This window comes from Homo sapiens, chromosome 20, assembly GCF_000001405.40.
Source record: "Homo sapiens chromosome 20, GRCh38.p14 Primary Assembly".
Classification (NCBI taxonomy): Eukaryota; Metazoa; Chordata; class Mammalia; order Primates; family Hominidae; genus Homo; species Homo sapiens.
In genome coordinates this window covers 42,669,130-42,684,395 of record NC_000020.11, presented here as the reverse complement: position 1 = coordinate 42,684,395, position 15,266 = coordinate 42,669,130, and the positions used below count along the sequence as shown (strand labels likewise).

The window sequence follows — 15,266 nt, the reverse complement described above, 5'->3', positions numbered from 1 at the left end:
ACCACTGGCTGTATGTTTGGTTAGGGCACAAAGACTAATTTTTTTTTTTTTGAGACAGAGTCTCGCTGTGTTGCCCAGGTTGGAGTGCAGTGGCATGATCCTGGCTCACTGCAACCTCTGCCTCCCAGGTCCAAGCGATTCTCCTGCCTCAGCCTCCCGAGTAGCTGGAATTACAAGTGCTTACCACCGTGCCCAGCTAATTTTTAGTAGAGACAGGGTTTCACCATGTTGGTCAGGCTGGTCTCAAACTCCTGACCTCAAGTGATCCTCCTGCCTTGGCCTCCCAATGTGCTGGGATTACAGGAATGAGTCACCGTTCCCAGCCAACAAAGACTAATTCTGATTGGCACCTACTGGAGGATTTGATGCTATATCTACTTAGGTTGTGTCCAAGGACTGTGAGCCCAAGCCAGGGAAGAATGAGAAGGCTGGGCTACTGCCGATTGCTCACTGTTAGGGTAGTCATTCAGTACACATAGAATCCCTGTGGCCCTTGGTAGAGAAAATTTAGGGACTTTTATGACTTGAATCTTTCATTGTCAAGGTAAAATAAATTTGAGGACCATGAAGATTGAGTAGAGTCACACATCTGGCTAGTGGTAAGCCAAGGTCAAGGAAAGCTTGAACCCTGGCCCCAAGGTAGTCCTTTTTGATCCTCAGTCCATTATTGTATGAAAACAGTGTTGCGCATAAATCGTAGAAAGTTTAATCAGCATTGAACATCTACTCTGTGCCTAGCCCTGTGCTACACGAAAGTAAGTCGTCATGAAGCAGTTTTGAAAAGAAAAATAGGCATGGTTTAGTTAAAAGTAATTGAAGGCTGGGCATGGTGGCTCAAGCCTGTAATCCCAGCCCTTTGGGAGGCTGAGGAGGGTGGATCACCTGAGATAAGGAGTTTGAGACCTGCCTGGCAAACATGGAGAAACCACGTCTCTACTAAAAGTACAAAAATTAGCTGGACGTGGTGACAGGTGCCTGTAATCCCAGCTACTTGGGAGACTGAGGCAGGAAAATCGCTTGAACCCAAGAGTTGGAGGTTTCAGTGAGCCGAGATTGCACCACTGCACTCCAGCCTGGGTGACAGGGTGAGACTCTGTCTCAAAACAAAACAAAACAAAACAAAAAAAACAAGTAAAAGGAAAGCCATTCTAGTTGGGAAAAATGGCACAGACAAAAGTCTGGAAATGAGAATGGCACAACCGTGTTTCTGTCTGTGTATGAATGTGTTTGTGTTGGTGGCTAGGGTTGGGTGGGTGGAGGCATTCCCACAGACCTGGAGGGTCAGTGAATAGAAAATGCAGTTAAAAGGGTGATCAGGTGGGGTGAGACGTGTGGTGTAAAGTGTTGGAGGCTAGGTTACACTCACCTTAATCATATCAAGGCTCACTTCACGTCTTAGTAACGTTTGGTTTTTCTCAAAACGTTTGATTTCTATCTAGAGCAGACAGTACATGCGCACAGCTCCATCTCCAGCTATTTGAAACACTTTTACTCTCTGTAGGAATTTCTAGGGAGTCAAACTGTTACAAGTGCTCACAGCAGGGAAAAGAAAGACAGAATTGTTCTGGAGATTGATGCCTGAGGATGTGGCAGAATTACAGGAAGGGGTCACTTCACCATCTACATGTTGAAGGAGAGCCTTGGAAGCTCAGGGCCGCTGCTGCCCAGGTCTCATGGATGGCTCCTGGCATCCTTGTCCTCGCAGCGCTTTGATGCCTGGCTGGAAGGCACTGATGTCATCTCCCAGCTCAGCCCTCAGCTCCATGAAGGCAAGACTTCCTCCTCCTTAATTTAGTTGCAAACTTTGTGAGCAGAGGGTGCTGTCAGATGTTAAACACTTACTCCTGGCTTTGCACAGATGATGGTGTGGAGTCTGTTAAGAGGGCATTGGTTGTGTTAGAAGTGAAAAGCCTCATGGATAAGAAACTGGTGTGTGCCTGAACAACCTCTTGTTTGAAAAACTGTTAGGAATTCAAGCATCTGATGGTGCTGATAAGAGGGAATGGTATAGGAGTAAAGGCTCATTTTCTCCCAATTTTCTGAGGTTCCCTTTCAGGTAATTAGTGGCATTCTCTTCATCCAGTGAGTCACATATCCATATTTTTGTTTTTTTTAACTTTTAAGGTATCACTTATATGCATAAAAATACTTCTGTTTAAAGTTCACAGTTTAATGAGTTTTACATAACCCCAGTTAAGATACAGAAATGGTTATAACCTCCCAAATTTTTCTTATGCCTTCTTTCAGGCAGTCATCTCCCTTATAGTAACACTATTTTGATTTCTGTTATTTAATTACCCAAATCAATATATAGAGAACATTCTAACATCCCAGAAACTTCCCTCAGGCTCTGTCCCGGTCAGTACCTGCCCCTCAGGTCACTATGCTTCTGGCTTTTATCACCATAGAGCAGTTTTTCTTGTTCTTGAACTTTTCACATAAGTGGGGTCATCATGCATTCTTTTATTTTTCTTTTGCATGAATTTTTTTGAGATTTACTCATGTTGTTGTGTGTGTCTGTGTCTGCAGCTTGTTCATTTCTTGCTGAGCAGCGTTCCATTGTGTATATGTGTATCCCTTTATGGATCCATAAGCTCTTACCTAGGTCTGGCTCCCAGGGCCTCTCTATTCTCGAATGCCCTCCTTCTCAACAGCTTCTGAGTCAGCTTCCTTCTCTCCTGACTTCTCTTTGTCAATCCTCGAGTGAAGGCTGGAAGGGGAGCTCCATGCAGCCAAGATTGTGTCTGTGCCTAGGACAGTGTGTGACCAGCAGCAGGGACTCAACATTCATAGAACGAGTGAATGAATGAGTGTCCAGGGCACATCGTTTGAATTGTTGACCAGTGTAGCCCAAGCAACTGAGAACTAGGGGACCCCCAGGAATTTTTCTTTGTTCATAGACTCAACATGAGTGGTCCCAGCAGAACACTCCCCTAAGTGCTCTCTGCAAGAGCTTCCCTAACCTCTAGACCAGATTGGGTCCTTTCACAGGCTTCAAAACTGCCTCTGCCACCCGCATCATGACTTTACTACACTTTGTTATCACTGATTTACTTGGCTGCATTAAATTTCATGCGCTCAGTGCTCTGTCTGGCAAATGAGATACACAGGGGTTTCCTTTTCCTCCCTGCTGACTCTAGCCATTGGACTGGATGGCCCTGTACATTTCCTATACTGTCTTCTTGAAGAGTTCATCTTAGAGATAGAGAACTGCTATAAATAGATAGGGTTTGTCTATGTATTTTTAAAATAATGTGCTGCTTACCAAAAACATTCTGTGCTATATTTTTGCTTCTCTCTCTTTGAACCACCAGTACCTGTGCCTTCTAAACAATGCCAATTATGAATCAATGGATCACTGAAAAAAGAAAGAATAAAGCACACAATAATCTGATGGCTTCCTTGGTGCCAGATAGAGGAAACACCGTGATAAACTTACATGGTCTACTCTTGAGGGGATGGAGAGAGAGATAACCGTGAGGCTAATCTGCACACAAATGTGTGAAGTCGCAAGTCATTTGAGATAGGGACATTTATATACTCAAGGGGATGTTTGTTACTATACTTGCACATGCCATTAGAAATACATGAAAAGAAGCTAACCATTTGGAAAGATTTAATACTTTATTTTCTTTCTGGTGGTCAGCAATTGAATACTGCTGTCTGAAATAGGAGAGCAGAAAACCATGGTGAAAAGTCAATGGAAAAGAACTAAATGGGGCCACTCACTCAGCCTCCAAACTATTGAAGTCTGCAACTCTTAATTCTGTAGAGGTCTAGTCTGTGAATAATTATATTAAGGAATTGGGCAGAGTCATCACAGAGCTGCAAAATATCACCCCTGGGGCCTCATTGGAGACTGATGGGAGCTCTGGAGAGTTGATAATGGCAATCAAAGGTTCCATATATTTAACATGCACAAAGGATGAGCTTAGAAATTATCTGCCTGCCAACCTAGCTTCTCTACCTGGAACAAATTATCCAAAAATCAATTTGCAAACACCTTTGAGATAACAAGGTCTTGAGTAATAACCTCCATGGCTTTGTAAAGAAAAGCATCTAGCTTGACTAATCTGCTTAATTTCCTTCTCTGACCAAATGGCAGGCTATAATAGAGGCAATCTGGAGTTGTCCCTTAAGATTTGCTTCGAGTCACACTGAGAAAATATTGTCCACCCCTGTTTCATAGCAATTATTCTGTTTCTAGAGAATCTTTGCTTCTAGGTAATTAATTGGAAGGGAAATGCTTAGTGCGTCTCTATCTCAAAGCCCTTACCTGAGTTCCAAGCTAAAATGTATACCTGCCTTCTATCCATGTGAATAACCCAGAGGCCCTCTATAAGTGAAATATTCTCAAACAAATGCACATTGTATTCTACCCTCATATGCCTCCTCTGTGCCTGCCCTTTCTCCTCTTCCTTGTTCTACTCTTCATTTCCTCTTGTTCATACCCTTTGACATATAATCCCATTCCTCGCAGTTGGTTCTAAGAAAACATGAGATAAGACAGACTGAAGTCTTTGCACAAAGATGTTCATTGCAGCATTATTTACCATAGCAAAACATGAACAACTCATGGGTCCAGCAATCAGAGAATAGTTAGTGTGATAACCTGATGGATTGTTATGCAAATATTAAAGACAATGATGATAAAGCTCAAGCAGTATATGAAAAAAAAAATCCTTACAATATAAGTGAAGGAAGAAAAATGAATCTACATTGGGTCTATGTGTTATTATAACAACACAAAAAATGTGTCAGTACATAAATATTGGAATGGACATGGAAGAATAAAAATGGCTATGTTGGATGTTAGAGATATTTTCTCTTTCTTCCATTTTTCTCCATTTTCTTCCATTTCTTCTCATATTTTCTCTTTCTTCCATTTTCTTTATTGTTCTGCCATTTTTACTGCAAATAAAAATAACAAATATATTCAGTTTGATTTTTTTAAAGATGAGTATTAAGAGGCAGACAGCTTTCCTTGGTGCAAGTTGGTCCAGGAAGGCATGCGGATATAAGTTTTATCCTACACTACCTTCTCCATGACCTTGGTTAGGTGACCTGATTTCTTAGGTTGTCAGTTTTTTTTTTTTTCCCCATTAAAGTTAAGGTGATAATGCTGTCCCAAGAATTACATGAATGATACGTGTGAGATTTTAAAGTACATAAGAAGTACAAGGTAAGTGTTAATTTTTGTAGCTTTGCCATGGGCTAATAATTGCAAGGAAGAGGCTACAATCCAAGCCTGCTGAACCTCTGGTCTACTTAGCTGACTGCGTGGAACTCAGTGGAAGAGAGGTGGCAGCACAGAGTAGATGCACGATAACTCAGCACAACTTTTCCTTTAACCCCTCATTCCTGCTGGGTCTGCTGTGACCCATGACTTTCTCTGCTGGAAGAAACCTGCTGGGGTTGAGGCAGAAGCTGAATTCTTGCTGTGCCATCATTCTTTTTCTACTTAGGCTCATATCACTTTTTGGAAAGAACTTCACTAACAATCTGTGTGTTCTATGTAAGAAATGTTTATAGACCTCAGGCTCCCCTGGTTTTGTGCCAAACTTTACTTCAGCAAAAGCAGGTTTTCCTTTGAGGCTAGAAAACAGAGTATTCACCCAGCAGCTTTGCTGTGTTCTGGGAAAACCATTTCCTCACATGGCCTTCTTTCTTTCATTTCTTTAAATGAAGGAGATAAGGTAGGCATTGAATATAGCTATTGAAGAAATACTGATTCAGGTACTTACATGCAAACCCTTAAAGTAGGGCATGAATGGGATTTAAAAGGGTTTTCAGGCCAGGCGTGTTGGCTCATGCCTGTAATCCCAGCACTTTGGGAGGCTGAGGCCAGCGGATCACCTCAGGTGGTCTGGAGTTCAAGACCAGCCTGGCCAACATGGTGAAACCCCATCTGCACTACAAATACAAAAATTAACCAGCCGTGGTGGCAGGTGCCTGTAATCCCAGCTACTTGGGAGGCTGAGGCATGAGAATTGCTTGAACCAGGGAGGCAGAGGTTGCAGTGAGCCGAAATGGCCCCACTGCACTCCAGCCTGAATGACAGAGCAAGACTCCATCTCAAAAATATAAAATAAAAATAATAAAATAAAACAAAAAGGGGTTTCTGACTATTTTTTTTGTGGCTACATCAAGAATTCTGTCCCTTGTCGTCATGTGCTTGTAGTCTGCTCTGTAAATCATTTGAATCTGACAGTCCTTTTTGATTGCTTGTCTTACAGAGCCTCCCACGCCCATTGCTCCCCCAGAGCTGCTGGCTGTGGGGGCCACATACCTGTGGATCAAGCCAAATGCCAACTCCATCATCGGGGATGGCCCCATCATCCTGAAGGAAGTGGAATATCGCACCACCACAGGCACGTGGGCAGAGACCCACATAGTCGACTCTCCCAACTATAAGCTGTGGCATCTGGACCCCGATGTTGAGTATGAGATCCGAGTGCTCCTCACACGACCAGGTGAGGGGGGTACGGGACCGCCAGGGCCTCCCCTCACCACCAGGACCAAGTGTGCAGGTAAGATTTTTTTTTTTCCCAGGCTCCATTATGAGAGGCTGTGCTATTGCCAAGACTGGCTTTCCTCTTGCCTTCCTGTGACAGATAATTCCGAATTTTCTTTGAATGTGAATGTGCTTCCTATTGTGGATAAACAGGATCAAGGCCTTGGGGTTTTTTTTGTTTGTTTGTTTTTTAGAGGACCTTCTTGCTGTGGTTGCATTTCTAGGGGCTTTCTAGCTCTGACTGTGATTCTAAGAACTTCCTGACTTTAGCTGGGTCACGGGAGGTTCCTGGATCTAATAGTGTTTCTGATGAGACACACTGGCTCTGTGTCTTCCAGAACTCCTGGTGCCATTTGTATGTCTGAGGCTTTCTAATGCTAATAATTTCTCCGAGGGCTCTTGGTTTTGTCTCTGGGGGCCCTGGCCGTGTTTCTCTGAGGGTTCCTGGCTCTGTTTCTCTGAGGGCTCCTGGCTCTGGTTGTGTCTCTGAGGGCTCCTGGCTCTCACTGTGCCCCGTGAACGCTTCATTTAGACTATGTCCTTGGGGGCTTCTGGTTTTGGTTGTATCTTTAATGAGTTTCTAATTCTAACATTGTTCCTGAGGCTCCCTGAGCTGGGCCTGTGACCCTTGGTTTTGAAAATTTTCTTGATGGCTCCTGGTTCTAGAATTGTCTCCGAGGGGCTTCTGTTGCCAACCATGTCTTAAATGCCTCCTGGCTCTGACAGTATCTCTGAATTGTTTCTGGAACTACCTTAGTCCCTAAGAGCTTCCTGCCTCTGTATCCCCTGGAGGCTCCTATCCCTACCTAAGAGTCTGGGTTGGGACTATTCCTCTGAAGGTCCTCTGGATTCCACTCTATCTCTATGGGTTACTGACTACACCTGTCTCTCTGATATTCCTGGATGCCATGTAAGAGTTTGCTGGCTGAGATTGTGTCTAAGAGGGGAGAGATTCTCTGGATCCAACTGTGTCCCAGGCCTCCTGGCTTCTACTGCATTTCTAATCAGGGGCTATTGGCTAACAACATGTGTCTCACTGTACCTCTGAGATGATCTGGCTCTGGATGCAACTCAAGAAATTAAACTAACTTGCTCTTTATTTGTTGCAAATTACCTTATTTATGTTATATCTTTTTTTCACACCAAGTAAACTTTTGCTGTAAGTACTTACATTTTATATATGCACAAAGGAATAGAGACTCAATACTTTTAAACTTTTTGTCCAAAGTCATAGAATGGCCAGTGGTACGGTCAGGAATTACACTTAGATTTTCTGACTCTCAGCTTTTGACTTTTGGCCACATCATGATGAATAAAAGAGAGAGAGAGAGAGAGAGAGAGAGCATTGTATATACAGCTGGGGATGTTCTAGTGGAGGCGGGTGTGGCTCAGGGGAGCAGGCAGCATGGGTTTCAGAAAACAAAGAGGAGTCACTGAGGGCATCTGGGTGGAGGGGAAGGACCCATCAGTACAGGAACCATGGAACAAACAGCAAGGGAAAGTGCATACAGCTCTGCCATGACTTGACATATAGGTGCCTAAAAATCACCACACTATGTCAAGTTACGAAATGAAAACCACAGGGATTATGGAAAAAATGGGGCTAGGGGCCATATTCATACTTCCTTAGTGACACATCAAAAAAGAGGGGAATCTAGTAAAACTGGTGGCACAATTTTATGCACGTGAAATGGCTAAGAAATGCATCCATCCAGGTGGAATATTCCTAACCTGAACCTCGGAAATCCAAAATGCTCCAGAATCTGAAACTTACTGAGTGCCAACACGATACCACCAATGAAGATGACATTGTTAACACTGCAGAAAAAGTGCCTGTAGATGACATGGCAAGCATTGGTGATGAGCTTATGGAAGGACTGGAGCAGTATGCATTCATAGCAGAACAGGAAACCAGGTCAATTTATAAAATCAGAGACGTCTAAGACAAAAATCATTGTTAATGAGGCAGATGACTCTGGAGGAAACATTTTTAAAAGCCATCCAGCAGAATGCCTCTTTATCCCTAGAGGATCCACTTCCTGGTTCCTCAACTGCTTCTGATGTTTGTTCTCACCTAAGAAAATAAAATGTGGTGTATAGGAACCCTTCATCAAAGCACAACATCACAGGGAGAGGACTGAAAGCCAGGATGTTTGTTGCTGACATTCACCAGCTGATCCAGGTATCTGCTGAGTCTACTGTGCTGCTCAGTTAACCTGAACACATTAATATTTCACAGTATTAATGACATATCATTTATTCTTTTTTACTGTTAAGCACTTATGTGTGAATAAGCTTAAGAAGATGATTGCTTATCGATAGCATATACATTTGGAGTCAGGAATTATGGTGATGACAGACAAGCACAGAGTTGTCCACGTAAGTGGCTAAGATAATTACACCTCTGCTTTCTGATGGTTCGACATACAAAAACTTGGTTCATGCACAACATTATTTAAAATATTATGTAAGATTGCCTACGATATATATAAAACATAAATGAATTTTGTGTTTGGACTTGGGTCCCATCCCCAAGATATCGTATTAGGTATAGGCAAATATTCTGAAATTCAAGAAAATCTGAAATCTGAAACGCTTCTGGTCCCAAGCATTTTGGATAAGGGATGCTCAACACAGATGGTATGTTACCTTGAAAAAGACCTGAAGTTTGCTGTGGAAGTGGGCATCAGGGAAGTTGCAGCCTGTGAGTGACTTGCAGCCTGTGAGTGACTGTGAAGTGGTGGAAGGAAAGCTGTCTGAAATTGGGGAAAAAGGTGTGGCTCAGAACACAGGCAGTGAGCTGACGGGCCAGGTAGGGGTTGGAACTGTGTGTGTTGCATGTATTCGTAGGTGGCTCAGTTCTGCTGGGTGCAGGTTTCTCCTTCACTAATGTTTCTCACATACAAAATCACACATAAGCAAATGCAGAATTCGTGTTGTGCTCAAATTGCCCTTTCATATATTAATTGGGTTGGAACAAATTTGCGTTTTCAAAGCAAGAGTTGTAGTGGAATTAGCTGTAACCATTCTTAAGTATCTCAGTGGTGTATCGTGGTAGTATGTAACCCAGGTATTTTTGTTGCTTGGAAATATTCCTTGTAAGGTTATTGAACCACTATGCTGAACAGAGATGCCATTTTCTTGATTATTTTCAAAACAGGCCTTTGGTAAAATTCCTCATTGAAACCTGATTATGAAACTTACTACTTTAAAAGGACATAATGATATGTTACTAAACTGGGTAATACCTTATCTCAGCTTTGCAATGCAATATTCATCCATAAAAATAATTGATTTGATCCTGCTGATGAGACTTCTCTCTTTCCACAGGGTAAATGTAAGAGTTTCCAGGGTTTTTGATCTTTATAAATGATATTCAAAGTACTTTAGCAGCCCCCGTGGACTTATTTGCTGATGATCATATAATACATTTTGAAATTCAATCGCAAGATGATCATCTCAATAAAGATTTACAGTCTATTGCAAACTGTTGCCATGACTGTGTAATGGATTTTACATGTTGAAAACACAATAATCTGGCTATCAATATAAAAATTATGAGTTGGAATGCAATTGTGGTATTTTATTTTTAAAAAACGTTGGTGTTTAAGTTACAGCTAAAATCTTGAATAATTCACATTTTACAAAATGTGTCATCAAGAAGATAATCTTCCTTCCTGCATCGCCACTGATGGTGGAATGTTTTTTGCCTCGTAATTAATTTTTAAGAGAATTCCAGGGCTGGTATCTATTTGTAGGTGGTGTTTATTGGTGTTGGTAGTCTGAGATTTTCCTCCTTTTCCTATTCTATTATTAATCACGCTGGAAATGTACTCATTATTTTACAAAACAGAAAGTGAGAGAGTATGTAGAGTGGAAGGTATAATTTCTGCCCAGAGGAATTTACAGGCTGGGTTAGGATTCCAACAAAACAGCAAAAAAAGGTAAAACATAAAGGCAAGCATTGAAATAGCATGCTTCATGGAGGAAAAACAGCGTCAGCATGGAAAGAGAAATGGTCTTAGAATCATCTTGGGCGGTGGTTCTCAAAGTGTGGTCCCTCGACCAGCAGCATCAGTATTGCTATAGACTGAATACTTGTGTTCCTTTAAAATTCATATGTTGAAATTCTAACCCTCGAAATGATGATATTAGGAGGTGGGGCATTTGGGTACTAATTATGTCATCAGGGCAGAATACTGATGAATGAGATCAATGCCCTTACAAAAGAGGCCCCAAAATGCTCCTTCATGTCTTCTGCCATGTGAGGACCCAGGAAATGGGCCCTCACTAGACACTTAATCTGCTGGCACCTTGATATTGGACTTTCCAGCCCTCAGAACTATAAAAAGTAAATTTCTGTTGTTTATAAGTTACCCAGTCTATGGTATTCTGTTACTGCAACCTAGATGGATTAAGACAAATATTCCCCTGGGAACTTGTTAGAAATGCACATTCTCAGACCTGTCCCCCGACGTAATAAATCAGAAATTCTGGGGTTGAGCCTAGAAATTTGCTGTAAGGATTCCACTGAGTGATGTCATTTCATACCCAAGTTTTACACTAACTTATGTATAGTGACAAGCCAACATGGCTCTTTGGAAGGATGTTCATTCCATAGCTTGGTCTTTGCAGCAGCTCTGAGATGTAGATGGGAGGAAAACTGAGACTCAGAATAGTTGGATGAAGGTCACCAATCGGTTAAATGCTAGGTCTCTTGGCCAGAGAAACTCTTCACCACAGGACTTGATGGAGTCTTCAGCCCTGGGGACCTCCTCTGCCCACAAGTGTCCTCTTGAGAGTGGCATTGGGTAGTAAGGAGGTTGGTGACTATGGAGATCAGCTGAGAATGAATAACTACTACACAAAAGTTTCACTCCTTTCTATCAAACATTTACTTAGTCTTTTCTTTGTGCCAAATTCTGTGCTAGGCACTGGTGGCAGAGGTTGGCTTAGTAAGGACATGCTAGTAGCAGGCAGAGACTTGGCAGCAGTAGGCTACAAGCTTGGGCGTAGCACAAGAAGATGCTAGAGAGGCAATTCAGCTAAGGCAGGTGGGGATGCATTCTGGCTCTGCCAGTTTTGAGAGGTCACTGATTAAGAAAATTCTGGGGTACTAAGGGAAGGCTATCCTTCCCTTAACCCAAAGGATACCTCCTCCTTAACCCTTAAGGGGGAGATTGTCAAGTGTTTGCCTGTAGCGCAGCATCCCAGCCCAGTAGGCTGGAGTTCAGAGCAAGACTCCCAGCCAGTTAAACCAGAAACTGTACAGATGATCAGATAGGAATCGAGGGATGTGGGGTTGGGAGTAGGGAGTCAAAGGTGATACTCCCATGCTTCAGTTTAGATGGCTGAGAGATGAGTGGTTGTATTAGTCAGGGTTCTTTATAGGGACAGAACTAATAGGACAGATGTATCTATAAAGGAAAGTTTATTAAGGAGTATTGACTCACACGATCACAAGGTGAGGTCTAGGCTGTCTACAAACTGTGGAGAAAGGAAGCCAGTCCGAGTCCCAAAGCTGAAGAACTTGGAGTCTGATGTACAAGGACAGGAAGCATCCAATATGGGAGAAAGATGTAGGCCAGTAGACTAAGCCAGTCTAGTCTTTACATGTTCTGCCTGCTTTTATTCTGGCCATGCTGGCAGCTGATTAGATTGTGTTCACCCAGATTGAGGGTGGGTCTGCCTTTCCCAGTCCACTGACTCAAATGTTAATCTTCTTTGGCAACACCCTCACAGACATACCCAGGAACAATGCTTTGCATCCTTCAATCCAATCAAGTTGACACTCATTATTAACCATCACAGTGGTGAAACAATTTTCTGAGCCGAAAAACACAAAAGGAAATGAGCTCAGGTCTGAATATGTTGTGTTGGAGGTGAAGATGTATAGCAGGTGATGGGAATATATAAATCTGGAGCTCAGGAGAGATCAGCAGATAACTGCCTCTTCCATGCGGACTACCTGATTTCACTTGGACTTTAGGATCAAAGGGACTTCTTAGTACTGATGAAAGCAATTTAAGTCTGTGTCTTCATGCTGTTCTGTTGAGATAATCCATTTCTTATATTTTTATTTATCATTTTGTTTCTTTTCCTTAGTTTAATCATTCACCATCTTTCATGAGATATAGGTATGAGAGCAAATGCGATCATGTATATCAAACTCAAAATGTTCTTTAGCTGCCTATAGTGAACCAAAGTGTTATTGGTTGCTGCTATTGTTATGGATGCTATGATTATGAATAATTATATCAAAACAGGAAGTCTTCCTTGTCCACTTCTCAGAACTAATTGGCATCTTGAAGGTGGACCCATATTCTTTTGTTGTTCATCATCTCCTGGAAAATCCCATTTCAGAGTTCATGCTGTGGTCTGGGATCTCAGAGACTCTCTTGTCTAGAGCATTGTGTGGTTTCCTCCAGCACATCCCCAACAGCAGACTTTCTGTGATAGGAGTTGGGTCTTAGAATTGCTGTGTGTTGCCCACCCAGCCTCACCTTGAATGCTGCCTCTGATGGGAAGTTTACACTCTTCCATGGCAGACCATTTCACTGCTGGAGATCTCGGGTGGTGACTATTATCCTCTATCCAGTGTTAGCTTGGTTATCGTACAGCTCTGGATGGATTATACACAGAGTGTCCATTAGGTTTAAAAGAGTGGGGGCAGTAGGCAGGCTGCTAGCATTAACTATTGGGAGTCCACAGTGAGAACCAAGGGCAGTGGATGCCGAGGTCAGTAACTGGAGAAAGCAGGTGAGGTGACAAGAGATAGGGACACCACATGGGTCCAACTTGGCCCTGTACCTCTCCTGCAGGTACCACTTTCAATGGCTTGGGTACCAGCTTGTTGGTGTCTTAAGACTATCATCTAGCATTAGATAGAAGAAGCTCTTCCTCATTGTTACCCTCAAATAGGCCTCCTTGAAACACCCACTTGTAAGTTTTGCTCCCAGGTTTTCCTCCTCATCTCAAAAACAGGTCTTCAGCCACTCAGTTGTCTCACTTAATCCCCAGACATTGCTTTCTTTTATCCCCCCAAACTTCGCTTGACGCAGACCCCAGGCCACTCCGATTATAGTTACAGAATCACAAATCAACAATCCAGCAAGTCACGTAATCTTAGCCCGTCCCCCTTGCGTGTCAATCAAAGGCCCCTTGCCTGGGAACCCACTTCATTGTAGTCTTGCGGAGTCCCAGCTCTCCAAGTGAAAAGTGGCTTTGTACAGCCAGAGACACCACATACGCTGTTGATTTGGAGGGCTCTCTTCCTATTCCCTCCACCTGAGGGTTGATTGCATGTTCTATTTTATTTACATATTTATGGATTTCTACTTGCAGTGATATGTGTCTACCTCTCTCTTTTCTCCAGGGGGATAAAAAAGATAAATTCAAATTGCTGGGCTCAATGAAGTGAGAGTAGTCATTAGAATTGAATGAAAAGGATAGAGGCTTTAGAGCCAAAAATAATCTGGTTTTTATTTCAAGCTGGGCACTTGCTGGCTGGGTGACCGGGATGTGTTACACCATCTCTCTGTGACTCAATTTATTTTCTTCCATCTAAGGGATATTATAATGCACCATTTTGTTGGAAAGCTTCAGTGAGATAAGTTATATGCCTTGCAGAGAACCGGGAACTTAGGGGCCCTTTAATAAACATTATTTAGAAATAAATCTTAGGCCTGGGGAAAGGATGTCAGAACCTGATTTCCTTCACTGTAGCATGATGGACCCTGTTTTAAGAAGGATTTCTCTAGCTGCTACTCTGTGTACTTTCTTAGACAGTGGTGGTTTAGCAACAAGCTCTGATCACTGCTGAGAAGGTAAGACATGTGGCTGTGTGCATGTTGTGGAGTCCTCGACGTGTAGCTGTGAGGGTATTTCATGATATAGGGCACGGGGTAAGGGGGATGGGAATTGTCCTTTTTATAATTGTCTCTAGTCTCAGGTAAGAGGGAGAACCATGTTACGCAGATGCTTCTCTCTTTGAGGAGGCCAAGGCTTGTAAGAATGAGGCCTTTCAAGCCCAGAGCAAAAAGGGATTGGAAGTGAATCCAGACTCTCTGCAATAAGCAGCCTCAGGTGGTCTCTGTGTTCTCTGAAAAGCCTGTGGGTCCCACAGGCAAGGGTCTTTCAGGGCAACATGCAGTTCTAGGACAGAGTAGAGGCAGAGAATTATAAAAAGAGGTAATTGAAGGTCTAGAAAATAGAACAGCATCACTTAACTAGTCTCGTGAGTTTTTCTTCTTCATTTCTCTATGCCTTGGCGGCACCATCTATAAAATGGGAGGAACATAACTTGGCCTAACTCTTAGGGTTCTGAATTAGAAGTAAAATGGGACATCCTTCTGGGCAGGAGGGTAGTATGAACACAGACATCTAACCTCCATCTCTGCTGTACTGTAATTCTGGTGAGATGATCCATAAATCTTCGGGGAACATGGAAACAGTAGCCAGTAGAAATGAAAATGGACTCACTATCCCACCCAGAATCAAAGCCATAGAGTTAATGGATTCTAAAGACCAATGGAGAAATTTTCAAGACCATGAGGATCTAGGGAAGGAGGGGACTTTCATGCATGCCACACCATGCTCGAAGGGACATAGTTGCTTGTGCAGTGCAGGTGAACCTAGATTGAAGGCAGTCACAGAAGATGGATTATGACCAGCACTTCCTCAAAAAGATGTGGAGAAAGGGTTCTGGCAGTTCTTGCATCACCTACCGAACTTGTTTTGCTGCTGCTGCACT

At 42.7% G+C, this 15,266-nt stretch overlaps 1 protein-coding gene across 11 annotated transcripts in view; it reads left to right on the top strand.

Annotated features, from left to right (window-relative positions):
* The window catches only part of PTPRT (protein tyrosine phosphatase receptor type T), a 1,158,017-nt gene that overhangs the window by 505,511 nt on the left and 637,240 nt on the right, over positions 1-15,266 (top strand). For all 11 annotated transcript variants that reach the window (XM_047439848.1, NM_001394024.1, NM_007050.6 and 8 more), the window contains exon 7: positions 6,237-6,530. In XM_047439848.1, the coding sequence (XP_047295804.1) occupies positions 6,237-6,530 (294 nt within the window). The remainder of the gene's footprint in view (positions 1-6,236; positions 6,531-15,266) is intronic.